The 14,590-nt window shown below is 40.7% G+C and overlaps 1 protein-coding gene across 53 annotated transcripts in view, besides 1 other annotated feature; it reads left to right on the forward strand.

Annotated features, from left to right (window-relative positions):
* ERC1 (ELKS/RAB6-interacting/CAST family member 1) overlaps positions 1-14,590 on the forward strand; it is a 505,975-nt gene that overhangs the window by 100,785 nt on the left and 390,600 nt on the right. For 52 of the 53 annotated variants that reach the window (NR_027948.3, NR_027946.3, XR_001748631.3 and 49 more), the window contains one exon: positions 14,007-14,081. The exons of the other annotated variant lie outside the window; for it this stretch is intronic. Coding sequence is in view for 49 of the 52 variants with exons in the window: in XM_047428566.1 (XP_047284522.1) it covers positions 14,007-14,081 (75 nt within the window). In the remaining 3 variants the exon portion in view is untranslated. The remainder of the gene's footprint in view (positions 1-14,006; positions 14,082-14,590) is intronic. 53 annotated transcript variants of the gene reach the window in all.
* Positions 4,203-4,352: an enhancer, noted in NCBI's record as "active region_5795". NCBI's record gives its function as "activates an Ori minimal core promoter by ATAC-STARR-seq in GM12878 lymphoblastoid cells {active_cell/tissue: GM12878}" and the evidence as "EXISTENCE:reporter gene assay evidence [ECO:0000049][PMID:35858748]".

Genomic DNA, 14,590 nt, shown 5'->3' on the forward strand with positions numbered 1-14,590 from the left:
AGGCAATATGCCTGTGCCTGGCCCATTATTATTATTATTGTTGTTGTTGAAAGTGCTGAGATTACAGGCAATATGCCTATGCCTGGCCCATTATTATTATTATTGTTGTTGTTGTTGTTGTTGTTATTATTATTATTATTATTATTATTATTATTATTATTATTATTATCATTTGTGACAGAGCTTTGCTCTGTCCCAGGCTGGAGTGCAGTGGCGCAATCTTGGCTCATTGTAACCTCCACCTCCCGGGTTCAAGCTATTCTCCTGCCTCAGCTTCCTGAGTAGCTGGGACAACAGGCGTGCACAAGCTAATTTTTGTATTTTTAGTAGAGATGGGGTTTCGCCATGTTGGCCAGGCTGGTCTCAAACTCCTGACCTCAGGTGATCTGCCTGACTCGGCCTCCCAGAGTGCTGGGATTACAGGCGTAAGCTACTGCACCCAGCCCCATTTTTATTATTTATAGATTCCTTCATTATTTGTTTCTTTTTTTATCTTACAAGGATGGAATGCTGTGCATCAGCACTGTTCAGAAAGACTTTCTGGGTGGAGTGCTAATTAAGTTGGGAAGGGGATTTTATAACAGGGTAAGTGTCCTTTAGTAGGTACCCTTTCAGTGGAGATCTGAAGAGAAGAAGCCAGCTTTGCCAAGTAAAATAATTTCATGAAGAAGCATTAACAGTTTTAAAGACCTCATAGGAAGGAGTTTTGAGGAAACAGGAGGGAGGCTGGAGGGCAAGAATATACTGTATAAGGGGAAGACTTAATGAGATGCGAAATTGGAGAGGTGGCCAGAGTCAGATTCACTTATCACGTATTTACTGGACACCAACCATGCGCACAGCACTAAGGATATAGCAGCAAACAAATCCATGCTGTCTTTGAGAAAAAGTACCTGCCTTTATGATCCTTGCAGATAATGCAACCATTTTATTCAAAATGGGAGAGAAAACCATTCCACCGTTGAATCAAGGGAGTGACACAATCTGATTTGCTTTTAAAATTTACTCTGGTTGTGCTGAGAATAAATGGAGGAAGGAGAGAAGAGTGAACAAGGGAGTATAGTAAGGAATTTAACTGCTGTAATCTAGATTAGGGGAATGGGGACTTGAAATGATTGCTGGAGATGTACAGAATATCACTAGCGTATCAGGAAGCAGCACAAAGAATTATGGGCTGGCAATGCTAGGGTATCCAGAAATTTCATTAGTTATTGAATTATTGTCCATCTTTTAAAAAAAAGTGGCATTTAATCAATTCTTTTTTTTTTTTTTTGAGACGGAGTCTCGCTCTGTTGCCCAGGCTGGAGTGCAATGGTGCGATCTCGGCTCACTGCAACCTGCGCCCCCTGGGTTCAAGCGATTCTCCTGCTTCAGCCTCCCGAGTAGCTGGGATTACAGGCACCCATCACCAGGCCCAGCTAATTTTTCTGTTTTTAGTAGAGACGAGGTTTCACCATGTTGGTCAGGCTGGTCTTGAACTCCTGACCTCGTGATCCGCCCGCCTCGGCCTCCTAATATGCTGGGATTATAGGCGTGAGCCACCGCGCCCGGCCCACATTTAATCAATTCTAAAAGTCACAACTTTCCCTGTTTTAACAATGAAATTGAGTTAAGTGTTAACACTTGGTGTCATGTTAACAGTCTATATCAGCAAAGCAGCAGTCCTGGTATATTTGTTTGCCCGTGTATTCACAAATATAATCATGTCCATTCATTTTGTCATCATTTCAGCTGAGGTATGAGCATTGTTGGCATTTCCCATGTTAACTTTGTTGTTCAGTGTTTCTGCATAAATATTCTGTGAATCAGCATTGAAACAAAATTACCCGGTATGGAGAAAGTTATGAAAACAGTTTATGATGGTATGTGATTAAACTCTGTTTAAATAAGTTTAAAAAAACTAACTCTTGCAATCAGTATTAAGTAAAAATTCTAGGGCGGGTGCAATGGCTCACGTCTGTAATCCCAGCACTTTGGGAGGCCAAGGCGGGCGGATCGCCTGAGGCCAGGAGTTCGAGACCAGCCTGGGCAATATGGCAAAACCCTGTCTCTACTAAAAATACAAAAATTAGCTGAGTGTGGTGGTGCACGCCTGTAATCCCAGCTCTTTGTGAGGCTGGCACATGGTAATTGCTTCAACCCAGGAGGCGGAGGTTGCAGTGAGCCAGGATTGCACCACTGCACTCCAGCGTGCAGAGTGACACTCTGCCTCAAAAACAAACAAACAAAACCCTAAATTTATGATAAAGTTTTGTGTCATGATTTATTTGGAGGCATTTCCACTATTTCTTTTCAGCATGTACAACAGTGGTGTGTCTTATAATCAGTGGCATCTTAGATTTGATGAAATAAGATAGCATTAAAATGGCATTTGTAGCTATTAGTAGTAACATTTGTAATTAGTTTTACGTTTTCTTTATTAACATGATTTTGTAGCTGGCAGGTAAATAATTCTCCCCCCCAAAAGCCGAGAGGTAAAAAGTAAGATTTCAATGAAGCATTGTATTTTCTGTTTGTACTCAAATCACATTGTTGTTTGACCGCTTATTCTTAGCTTTTGTATTATTTCGCTGTAGCTCCTTTCATTTGACTGTTAGAAGAGTGGGGACATCTCTTGGACAAATGCTGAATTACAGGCAAGACTTGGTTAGTGCTGAGGGCTTGACAGGTGATTCTGTTATACACCAACATTTGAGGCCCCAACTTTGGTTTTCAGTCCGCTAGCAGAGGATACCTAAGTTGGCTGTGGAATTTTTGGGTCTTCAATCCATATGCATACCAAACATTGTCTATAGGCCAACTAAATAATATATTTCAGTATGTGCTCCTACTTACTTAAATGCTGGTATGCTATTGTGATTAATAAAATACAACTTTGTTTTAAAACATTATTGCAGCCTACTAGTTTTTTGTCTGTATTTTAATCAACAAACCGTATTAGTACAACTGCTATCGTGTTAGGTTTGCAAAAATCTTTGAGGTTAAAAGTGCTAATATTTGAATATGTTCTAGGCTAGGGAATTCTGAATCTAACTAGCATATCTGAGGACTGCTTGTCAGTTTGTCAGTATTACTGGCAGATAGAAGGTATAAGCAGAGGAGATTAAAGAAAAAAAGAAACATATATATATGTTTATGTGTATTTATTTATATATAAATATATATTTTTCTATATATAAATGTATATTTTTCTATATAAATATATATATTTTTCTATATATATATATATATATATATATATAGAAAAACATAGAAAATGAATAGGAATTTAAAAAGAAATTTTTTTTTTTTTTGAGACATAGTGTGGCTCTGTCGCCCAGGCTGGGGTGCAGTGGTGCAATCTCAGCTCACCGCAACCTCCGCGTCCCGGGTTCAAGCAATTCTTCTGCCTCGGCCTCCTGAGTAGCTGGGACTACAGGTGCCTGCCACCATGCCTGGCTAATTTTTGTATTTTTAATAGAGATGAGGTTTCACCTTGTTGGCCAGGCTGGTCTCAAACTCTTGACCTCAAGTGATCCTCCCGGCTCGGCCTCCCAAAGTGCTGGGACAACAGGCATGAGCCACCACACCCGGCCAAAAAAGAAAAAGAAATTCTTAGTTTGTCTTTTGTAGCAATTTTGGAAGATGAGAACAGTTGCATACCTTATTTATTTAAGTTATTCCTTCTCTCTCTTTTTTTTTTTTGGCAACAGAGTCTCGCTCTATCGCCCAGGCTGGAGTGCAGTGGTGCGATCTCAGCTCACCTCAACCTCCGCCACCTGGGTTCAAGTGATTCTCCTGCCTCAGCCTCCCAAATAGCTGGGATTACAGACGTGTGCCACCACACCTGGGCTAATTTTGTATTTTTAGTAGAAATGGGGTTTCACTGTATTGGTCAGGCTGGTCTCGAACTCCTGACCTCAAGTGATTCGCTGGTCTTGGCTTCCCAAATGCTAGGATTACGGACGTGAGCCACCGTGCCTGGCCCTTCCTCTCCTTTTTAAATTACATCATTTGTCCTTCATTTCCATTTTGACAAGGTGACATTTTCTGAGCACACTACTATTACCAGAGATGGTAATGGGTTCAGGTACAATGGTGTGTGACACTGGGCAAGTTAAGATACGAAAAAGTGGTAACAGTTCTTTCCATTTACCCTCCCTTCTTTTTTATTTCTGTCTCCGCTGTGTTGTCAGTATGATAAATTCAGAAATTGAATCTGTGAAGGGACTTCCCGAACAATGTGGAGCTTCTATCCTTGAACCAAGGGTGCTGAGGGCTAAGACTTGAAACTTGAAAAAAAATTTTCAGACCTAAGTTTTACTTTTTAGTCACACATACTTCTTTCTCTCAGGTGTGCAAGTAAAAGTTGACTTACTTTTACAAAGAAACAACTAGGGAAAAGGAGAATTATTAAATTTTGTTTCTCAGGCGTGGTGGCTCATACCTGTAATCCCAGCACTTTGGGAGGCTTAGGTGGGCAGATCACTTGAGGTCAGGAGTTCAAGATCAGCCTGGCCAACATGCTGAAATGCCGTCTCTACTAAAAATACAAATATTAGCCAGGCATGGTGGTGCATGCCTGCGGTCCTAGCTATTTGGGAGGCTGAGGCAGGAGAATCGCTTGAACTCGGGAGGTGGAGGTTGCAGTGAGCCGAGATTGTGCCACTGCACCAAAAAAAAAAAAAAAATTGTTTCTAACTTGTTTATTTTCTAAATATAAATTAGTCATTATTCTTTAGTTATTTAAGGAGAGAAAATGAACATATTTTTTATGGTCTACCACATTTGAAAGTATATTATAGCAACATTAAATGGACTAAGACAAAAAAAGACAAATAGACTATATAACAAGATTCAGATACTTCTACCTCTAATTTTTTCAAATGAAAATTTTCAGCCAAAAAGGAGTGAAATAAAGTGACCAAATAGCATATTCTACTTCTTACACTTCTTTGAATAGTACTTCTATTTCCAGTCTTCTCTCTCTATTGACAATGCGGGAGGCATAGGCTTGATGTGCTTGGTGGGAAAGGGGAGCTTATGAGCTCACTGACTGGAAGATGTGTTCATAGTGAACTGTAAGGTGCAGGCTTCTGAATGGGAGTTTGTTTTGAGCAATGGGTTTTAAAACGTCTTTGTAGAAAAGCTTTATGCCTATGGATGGTTTAAAATACACCCCAATTCTTTATTGTACGCAGGGAAGGATTTTTTTTTTTTTTTTTTGAGATAGGGTCTGACTTTGTCACCTAGAGTGCAGTGGCGTGATCTTGGCTCATTGCGGCCTCCACCTCCCAGGCTCAAGCAGTCCTCCTGCCTCAGCCCCCGCAAGTGGCTGGGACTACACATGAGCACCACCACACCCAGCTAGTTTTATGTGTTTTTCATAGAGATGGGGATTCACCGTGTTGCCCAGGCTGGTCTCGAACTACTGAGCTCAAGTGATCTGCCTGCCTTGGTTTCCCAAAGTGTTTGGATTACAGGCATGAGCCACTGCACCCAGTCAGGACTTTTTATTCAAATGGATTTTTCGGTTTTCTTTAGGAATTAGGTGATGCTCAAGAGGAGAAATCAGATGAAATAAGTTGAAAATCTAAATTGTGTGTTATTTTTTAAAAAATGCAGTTTTAATATTTTCAAGTAGATACAGAAATACCAAATAAAAATGTTGTAAAGTATAGGTTATAAAATTTTGTTAATAAATGAAGATTGTTTACAGTTAGCAGAGTTCATTTTATTTTTACTCAGACAATTTAAAGTTCGACACTCATTTATTGAACAAATACTGTTAAATATCTACCGTGTGCCCAGTCAATCACCTTGTAGTGTGCAGAACAGATTCAACATGGACAAACTAGGCTGGGAGGAGGCTGACGAGTTTGTCGTTTTAAGGCAGGTGAGAGATTATTATGGCCTAAACTAATTAATGTGTTAGGTGTTGGGATGGAAGAAAACAAATAATTTTAAGAGATTTTAAAAACTCTTTTTTGATACAATATGGAATGCATGTAAGAAATAGAATAAAACAGGTGTATAGTTAAGTAAATTATAAAGTAAGCACCCTCATAACCACTACCTAGGTCTAGAAATAGAACTTTCACAGCCACCCAGAAGTCCTGTACGTGAACCAACCCAGCCAGAACTCTCCCTTCCCTCTAAAAGTAACCAGTGTTCTGGGTTTTATAGTTATCATGCCTTTGCTTATTATACTTATCACATCTGATCCTTACTATCATAGTATTGTTATCTTGTATTATATGTTAAATTAATATCATTCCTAGGTATCATCCCTAAGAATTATGTCTTTGTTTTGTCTGTTTTTCAAAAATATGCTTTAAATCTCTTAATTACCGATTTGCCCTTAATTCCTCCTTTTTTTTCTCGTGCAGTTGGAGCATTTCTTGGCTTATTAGCTGGAATGACAATTCCATCATCTTTGTAATATCCATGTTTATTTCAGTGGAATGACTTCTCTCCTGGTTGTAGGTCATATTTTCCTACTTCGTGTGTATAGAATTTGTGGTATGATGGACATTTTGGACACAAGGTGATTGAGTATCTGGATTTTGGTACCTTCCTTAATGAAGGGTTGTTTTGTCTGGCAAGAGTTAATTTACTTGGGGATTAACTTGATCCTTTCAAGACTTGCTTTTAAACTCTGTTAGGCCTGGTTTAGAATAGCCTTTTCTCTAGGCTACATCAGCTCTACTCCTAAGCTTGACCTTTTAGTGTCTCTACTAAATGCCTCTGCTGTTCTCCCCACTATTTGGAACTTGAATTTTTCCCAGCCCTATGGGGTTCAGGTAGTTACTCAACTCATGGCTCTCTGATAGTTGCTCTTTCTCCAGTAGCTCTTGATCTTATTTTGTGGCAGCTTGCCCTATACATGCACAGCTTAGTATTTGGCCAAAGACTCAAGGGGACCCTTGTCAGGTTAGACAGTGCTGCTTTTCTGGTAAGCTCCCTTCTCTGTGTTTTGTTTTTAATTTTTAATTTTTTTTTTTTTTTTTGAGACAGAGTCTCACTCTGTTGCCCAAGCTGGAGTGCAATGTCGCGATCTCGGCTGACTGTAACCTCTGCCCCCCAGGTTCAAGCGATTCTCCTTCCTCAGCCTCCCGAGTAGCTGGGATTGCAGGTGCCCCCCACCATGCTCAGCTACTTTTTGTATTTTTGGAAGAGACGGGGTTTTGCCATGTTTGCCAGGCTGGTCTTGAACTCCTGGCCTCAAGTGATCTGCCCGCCTTGGCCTCCCAAAGTGCTGGGATTACAGGCGTGAGCCATGGTGCCCGGACCTCTGGTATTTTGCTCCGCAAAGTTTTGCAGATTAATGGGAACCTTACTCATTAAACTGTCTTTGGAGCTTTGCAAGACTGCTGTTCTTTGTTTGGGCTTTCCCTCCCTACGCCCCATACTAGACATATCTGGGCCATCACCTTGTTTATTTTCTCTCAAGGATCATAGTCCTGTATTGCTTGTTATCCAGGGTCTGAAAACAGTTATTTCATGCATTTTGTTTAATTTTATGATAGTTTATGACAGGAAGGCCCATCTCACCTTATGGTCAAAGTGAGAAGTATAATGGTAAATTTATTGAAAGATTTAAAGCAGATTAATGCCATGATTTGTGGATATTTTATCAAGATCACCCTGGTGCTCTCTTGAAAATAGACAAAGGAGGTGGAAGAAAGCTAACTAGAGGCTGTTGCAAACTAGACTGGAAATGGGGTGAAATGGTTAGACTCAAGAAATACTTCCGCACTAGAACAGTTAGGACCTGCTGTTGACTTGGTTGTGGGAAATGAATATCAGGAGGAGAAAAAGGAGAGCTTTGGTGTTTGGCTTGAGCCACTGGAATGGCAGTGCCATTTAATGAGACAGAGAAGACTCATCTCTCATCAGAGTCACCAGATGATGGGTGAGATTGAAGAAGAGGAAATCAAGAATTTTTTTTGATAAAATAAGTGTGAGTTGCCTGTTAGACATCTAAATAGAGATGCCAAATGGGCAGTTGGATGTATGAGTCCTGAAATCAGAGCAGAGGGCAGGCCTAGAAATTCATCAGCATTTCCGTTGTATTTTAAACCATGTAGTAGATTAAAGAGTTTAGATGGAAAAGAGAAAAAGGTTAGAACTGATCACCTGGTCACTGGTCTAATTTAGACCTGGAGGTCTGATTTAGAAGGAAGAACCTGTGAAGGAAACAGAGAAAGTGCAACTGGAGAGTGAGAACTAAAAACAGGAGAGTGTGATGTCCTAATAGTCAAGAGAAAACAAGTGTCTAGGAGGGATTGGGCCGTTGCTTTGAATGCTTCTGAGAGTTCCAGGGAGATGAGGACAGAAATGTGTTTGTTAGAGTTGGTAACTTAGAATTCGTTGGTGGTCTTGATGAGTTGTTTCAATGGAGGGGTAGAGAAACAAGCCAGATTAGGCTGCTTTTATGAGGTAAAGGGAATCTTGTATGTCTGAAATATTTTAAAATTAATTAAAATAAAAAGAGTGAATGGGAGAGGGAGAGGAAGAAGGAGAGATAGCAGGTGTGGACCAGCTGTCTTCAGGGCAGGCATTTGAACACCTTGGAGTTCACAGAGACTCTGCAGTGGTGTGTGGGCAGTTTCAGATTCTCAACTCCCATGTGTCATTCTCTGGATTTTAGTTGGCCGAAAACATACCTGTGAGATCATCTTTCCCCTCCCTTTTTATGGTTGCACTTTGCCCACTCTAACTCCTGTTCATCCTTCAGCTCTCAGGTGTTCCTTAGGAAACTTTACAAGATCCCAAGACTACGTCAGGATCTCCTAATTACTCTCTTACAGTATTGTGGATATTTTCTTTATAACACTTTTTACATATGAATTATACAGTTACTTAAAAAGTATTTTCATTCATTTGACAAATATTTGAGTACTATCATTGTACTGTGTATTGTTCTGGGTGCTGATATACATCAGAGAATAAAAAAGAAAAATTCCTGGGATAGGAGAGACAAACAATAAACAAACAGTTATAAATACCAAGAAAAAAGTAGATCTTGGTTAGGGAGATTGGGGATGTATATTAGAGTCAAATCATAAGTGAAAATGGGGTAATAAGGATGAGCCTGCTTGAGACTTTGATTTTTTTTTTTTTTTTTTTTTTTTTTTTTTTTGACAGAGTCTTGCTCTGTCACCCAGGCTGGACTGCAGTGGCACCATCTCGGCTCACTGCAACCTCCACCTCCTGGGTTCAAGCCATTCTCCTGCCTCAGCCTCCCCAGTAGCTGGGATTGCAGGTGCGCACCACCAGGCCCAGCTAATTTTTTTGTATTTTTAGTAGAGATAAGATTTTACCATGTTGGCCAGGCTGGTCTTGAACTCCTGACCTCGTGATCCACCCGCCTCGGCCTCCCAAAGTGCTGGGATTACAGGCATGAACCACCGCTCCCAGCCGAGACTTTGACTTTTGAACAGACTTCAACAGTTAAGGGAAGGAGAGAGCCTGTCAAAGGGAGCAGTGAGTGAAAGGCCTTAAGTCAAGAGGGTGACTGACATGTTGAGGAAAAGCAAAGAGGTGAGTCTGGCTGGAGCCGACTGGATGAGAGAGAGGAGTATAAGAGATGAGGCCAGAGAGGTAACAGGGCCGGATCATGTAGAGCCTTCTAGGTCAGCATAAGGACTGTGACTTTTACTGTGAGTAAAACGAGAAGCTTTTGATAATTGCAAGCATATTTTGACTTCTGCTTTAAAAAGATCACTCTAGATGCTCTATTGTGAATGGTGAGATAGATTTGGGAGACTGTTGGTGTAATCCAGGCAAAAGATAATGGTGGCTTAGAGCAGTGTGATGGTGGAGGTGGTAAGTTTCAGGATATATTTTGAAAATGGGAAGAGCAGGATTTCCTGATGAGTTGGATATAGGTGTAAGAAAAAAAGAGACTCCTATGTTTTTGGCTTGAACAACTGGCTGGATGCATACCATGAATCAAGGCAGGATGAGTGAAGCAAGTTTAGAGGGGAAGGCCAGGAGGTCACTTGCAGATGTGTTAACAGTGGGGCAGATATTTGATACTCCAGGAAAGTAAAGGTACATACGAGTATGGATTTCAGTAGGAGGTAAACATTTGGGAGTTATCAGTATGTGCATGATACTGAACGGTAAATACCAAGGGAATGAGTATAGGTGGAAAAGAGAAGCCTACAAAGGACTGATGCTTGGGACACTCCTGAGGAGTTGGGAAGAAAAGCTTAGGGTAAGATAGGAGGAAAAGCTTAGGGTGCCATACCTTGAAAGCCAAGGAAAGAGAGTAGAATAAGGAAGAGGGATTGAGCAGTTGGGTAAAATGCTGCTGGTCAGGTACAGTGACTAAGGATGCATCATGGGTGCTAGCAATGTGGAGGTCGTCAGTGACCCTGATGAATTGCATAGATGATTATTTGATTAAACTCTATTTTTCCTATTAAAGCTTCCATGATAAAAGGGACCAAATATGTTATTTCTCATTATTATATCTCCAAAACTTAGTTCCTGGAGTGCATAAATGGGATAAATACATAGGTCCCAGAGCCTCTGGGAGGACTAGAGAACTGGGCTCCGAAGTTATATAGACAAGAATAATGCCTCGAATCAATCACACTTCTATATTGCTTTAGTGATGACAGTGCTGCGTGGCACAGGCATGTGAGTGTGTTACGCCGACATCACTGACACTGCTCACCACCACTGGAGCCTCTGCTGTTGGTGTGTCTGGAAGCCTGAGGTAGCTGCTGCCTCTGCCACCCACTGCTGGAATTGTCTGTAAATATTCATGTCCCGGCTTCTTCATGTCACAAGATTCTGTTTCAAAGTACATGACGAATGTGTCTGATTGAGGTGATTAGGTCATGTACCTGGGCTTTAATCACAAGAAAGGCTGGGCAACAAGTATGTGGCATTTTCAATTTCTGTTGTGGGAGGTAGACTCTGCCTTTAAATGTGGAGTTCCCACACATGCTAAGGAATTCAGATATCACACGGCGAGGAAGAGTGATGAATGCCTGCCACGGTGCGAGATAAATAGATTTTGTGGGGTATACGTGTAAAGGTAATAGTTGAAACCATAGGATTAGGGAAGGGCTATTTTGGATGGTTATTTGTACGGGTTGTTCACCAAACAAGAGCTTCCTGCTGATGGAGCCCGTAGGCCCTAAAATTCAGCCTGTGCTTCATGGTGATGTTGCATCTACCCAAGAAGGGTTGCTTTTTTTCTAATTCGCATAAAGTTACTCTGTGGATTAGTGAAGGCTTTGGATTCAGGCTATAGAATCCAGATGTTCCAAGGACAGGAATTTAGAAAATGTCTGCAGGTAGGAAAGGAAAAGGGTGGAGTTTAGAGCTAGGATAATTCTTTAATGGAAGCCGGTTGAAAATTTTAAAGACGTTCCTTCTTTAACTTAAATTTTTTTTTTTCTGGTACCAGCTAGAGTTTGCAAAGGAGGTGAACTGACAATAACTATTAGGTTTAGAAACAAGGAGGTTTTTTATTTGCTATTTTAGATCGTATGGTTCAGTGGAGAGGTGAGGATAGAAACTGGCTGATCATTCATTCATCATTCATTCCTTCATCTAACAAAAGAGGAACAGATAGAGAGGAGAAGTAATTTTTAACGACTGCTTACATATCAGACAGTGCCTGAGGAATACAGAAGACAGTTTCTAAAAGAGTTCACAGTATGGTATGTTAGAGAAGAAAAACTATTGCTAATACAATGGGGTAAGTGCTCATGGAGCTATGTAAGCTGTGTAGCATGCTGTATGAGAAATAGGAGGTGTACAAAATTCAGCACAGGAGTAGGAAGGGACTAAAATATTTCCTTTCTAGCTAATTCTTGAACGTTTGGTAGCCATTTCATTCATTCAGTATTCATTCCTTAAATGTCTATTAAGCGCTTACCAGTGTGGCAGCTACTGTTGTAGGTGCTTTGGATCCATCAGTGAATGAATGAAACAAAGATCTTAGCTTTTGTGGAGCGTACATTCTCGTAGAGAATAATAAGTAAACATAATAAATCATAAAATATGTTAGAGGGTAAGTGCTATACACAGGAAAAAGTAGAGCGAAGTAAAGGGGAAGGACACATGCGTTCTTTTTTGGCTGTGTTAAATTTTAAAATAAGGTGTAGATTATACTGAAAACGTTGAACATTCATTTTGTTATGAAAAATTTCAAGCCTACACAAAAGCAGTAAGAACTGCATGATGAATCTCCACATGCTCATCACTCAGATACACCAGTTTCGAAAATTTTGCCACACTTCCTCCATGTATTCTTTTTTCTTTTTCCTCTTTTCTTTACCAAAGATTTTAAAGCCAATCCCTGGCATGACGTCATTTTCCTCTGCAGACTTTAATATGCGTCTCTAAAATATATGGACATTTTCTTGCATAGCGACAATGGCATTATCACAACAACTAAACCTAATACTAACACAAAAGAGGCATTTGAGCCAAGACTGGAAAGAAGTGAAGTCTTCCCCTAGCAGCTTGTGCAAAGGGCTTAAGGATCAGGAGCATGCTTAGCATATTTGAGGAGCAGCAAGGAGTCCATAGTGGCTAAAGCATGGAGACCCAGGGAAGAGCGATGAGATGAGGCCTTTGCAGGCTGCCGAGAGGACTTGGGCTCTAGTTGGAGTCGAATGGGGAGCCATGACAGGGTTTTCAGCAGAGGACTGACAAGGACAACTTTATGTTTACAAGGGTCACTTGAAGTGCTCCATTAAGAAAACACTGTAGTGGAGCAAGATAAAGCAGAGCTCAGTTAGAAGGTTGTTATGGATTAAAAGGTATATTTTTGTTTAGTGGTTCATTCCAGGTGGTGGCCGTGGAGATGGCAAGAAGTGCTTGGATTTTGGGTATGTTTTGAAGCTAGAGCTAACTGGATTTCCTGACTGCGGCTTGAGAGCGAAAGGAAGGCATTAAGAAGACTCATAGGTTTGTGGCCTGAGTAACAGGAAGGATGGAGCAGGTTTGGGGGCACCATCAGGAGTAGAGATGACATCTTGCCATGTTGCCCAGGCTGGTCTCGAACCCCTGGGCCAAAGTGACCCTCCTGCCTTGGCCTCCCAAAGTGCTGGGATTACAGGTATGAGTCATCACGCTTGGTCAGGAGTTGAGTTTTGAGCATGTAGAGTTTGAAATGTTTGTTGGACATGAAAGTGAGATGACTAGGTGGATAGTTAAAGCTGGAAGTAGGGAGAGAGGCAGCAGAAAGCATTCATCTCTGTATTCCCTGGATTCCCAAGAGCCTGTCCCCAGGGTACTTGGAAGTACTGACTGATTTATTTAGAGACATTCACAGAGTCTGACAAGAAAATCACTGAAGTGGTTTGGTAACCTGGAAGGCTCTGATATCCCTTCCTTCCTTTTCTATCCTGAACTCAGTAAAATTTGGGTAAAAAAAAAAAAAAAAGCTATGTTTTTCTGACATTTTCTGAACCTGAACTACTTAGGAAACTTGTTCAACAGTGTCATGTTTTTCTTCCTAACTGTAGCACCACTAGAGAGCGAGCTTCATCGTAGGTAACCAGGTGGTGGTTATTCTGGGGGTGGATGCCGTGGAAAGGATGTTGTCAACACAGATTGCTTTCCACAGCTGCAGTCAGCAATGCAGACTGATTGTGATGGTATTTATTTCTCCTTTTAAAAGGGAGCATTTCTAATCCCCATTTTGGATCATTTGGAATTCTGATTATATTTCCCGGAGTTATGTGGAAGATTGACACACAACCTGAGGATGTGAAATCGTAGTTTCAGCTGTTATGGTAGCTCGTGTCTGTGTGACTGATTTTAAATAACTAGGTGTTCAGAGATAGGGATCCTCCTATGCCTGCATGGTTGAGTGAGCCTGAATGCAGTCTGTGGATTCCCTGATTCACAGGGAAAGGTTGGTAACACAGAAGGGGTCATTGTCTCATAAGGCTGTAGTGATCTTTTGCATACATCGGCTCTCACTCCTCTTTGAAAAAAATGAGGGTGAACAGGAGAGCACTGAATCTCTTTCTGCCTCTTTTCTACAGGAGATGCATCGAAGGTTTGAGAATGCTCCTGATTCTGCCAAAACAAAAGCTCTGCAAACTGTTATTGAGATGAAGGTAAGTGAGAATCTAGTAAAGAATCTTATGAATTACCTTATACTTTTAAGTGATCAAAAACTTCCATGTGTGAGTGTTAGGAAATGGCATGTAATAGTATTTCACTTATTTGGAGATTAAGAGTGAGAATCAATGAAAATGACATCTTAAAAGAATTTCAGTTTTATTTCCTTTTACTTGTAGACCATAATTCAAATTGGACCAAAAAGAGTTGAACAGAATTTCTTTAAATCAGCTATTCGCAGATGTCTTGGTCTCAGGACCCCTTTATTCTCTTAAAATGACAGACTCACTTCCTTCATTTTAAGAAAATGTCTGCCAGATACCAAGTCTGGGTAACCATAGCTTGTCAGTTTTCTTTCAAGTAAAAATAGTGTTCCGTGAAGAAAATACTGAATTCAGTTTACAACTCAAAGCAACACGAGTCCTGTGCTTAGGGACAGCCATCGTATTTCAGTACGCAGCTTCATTCCATTTGTCACACACAATATTAAAAGTATGTGTACTCC

This window comes from Homo sapiens, chromosome 12, assembly GCF_000001405.40.
Source record: "Homo sapiens chromosome 12, GRCh38.p14 Primary Assembly".
Classification (NCBI taxonomy): Eukaryota; Metazoa; Chordata; class Mammalia; order Primates; family Hominidae; genus Homo; species Homo sapiens.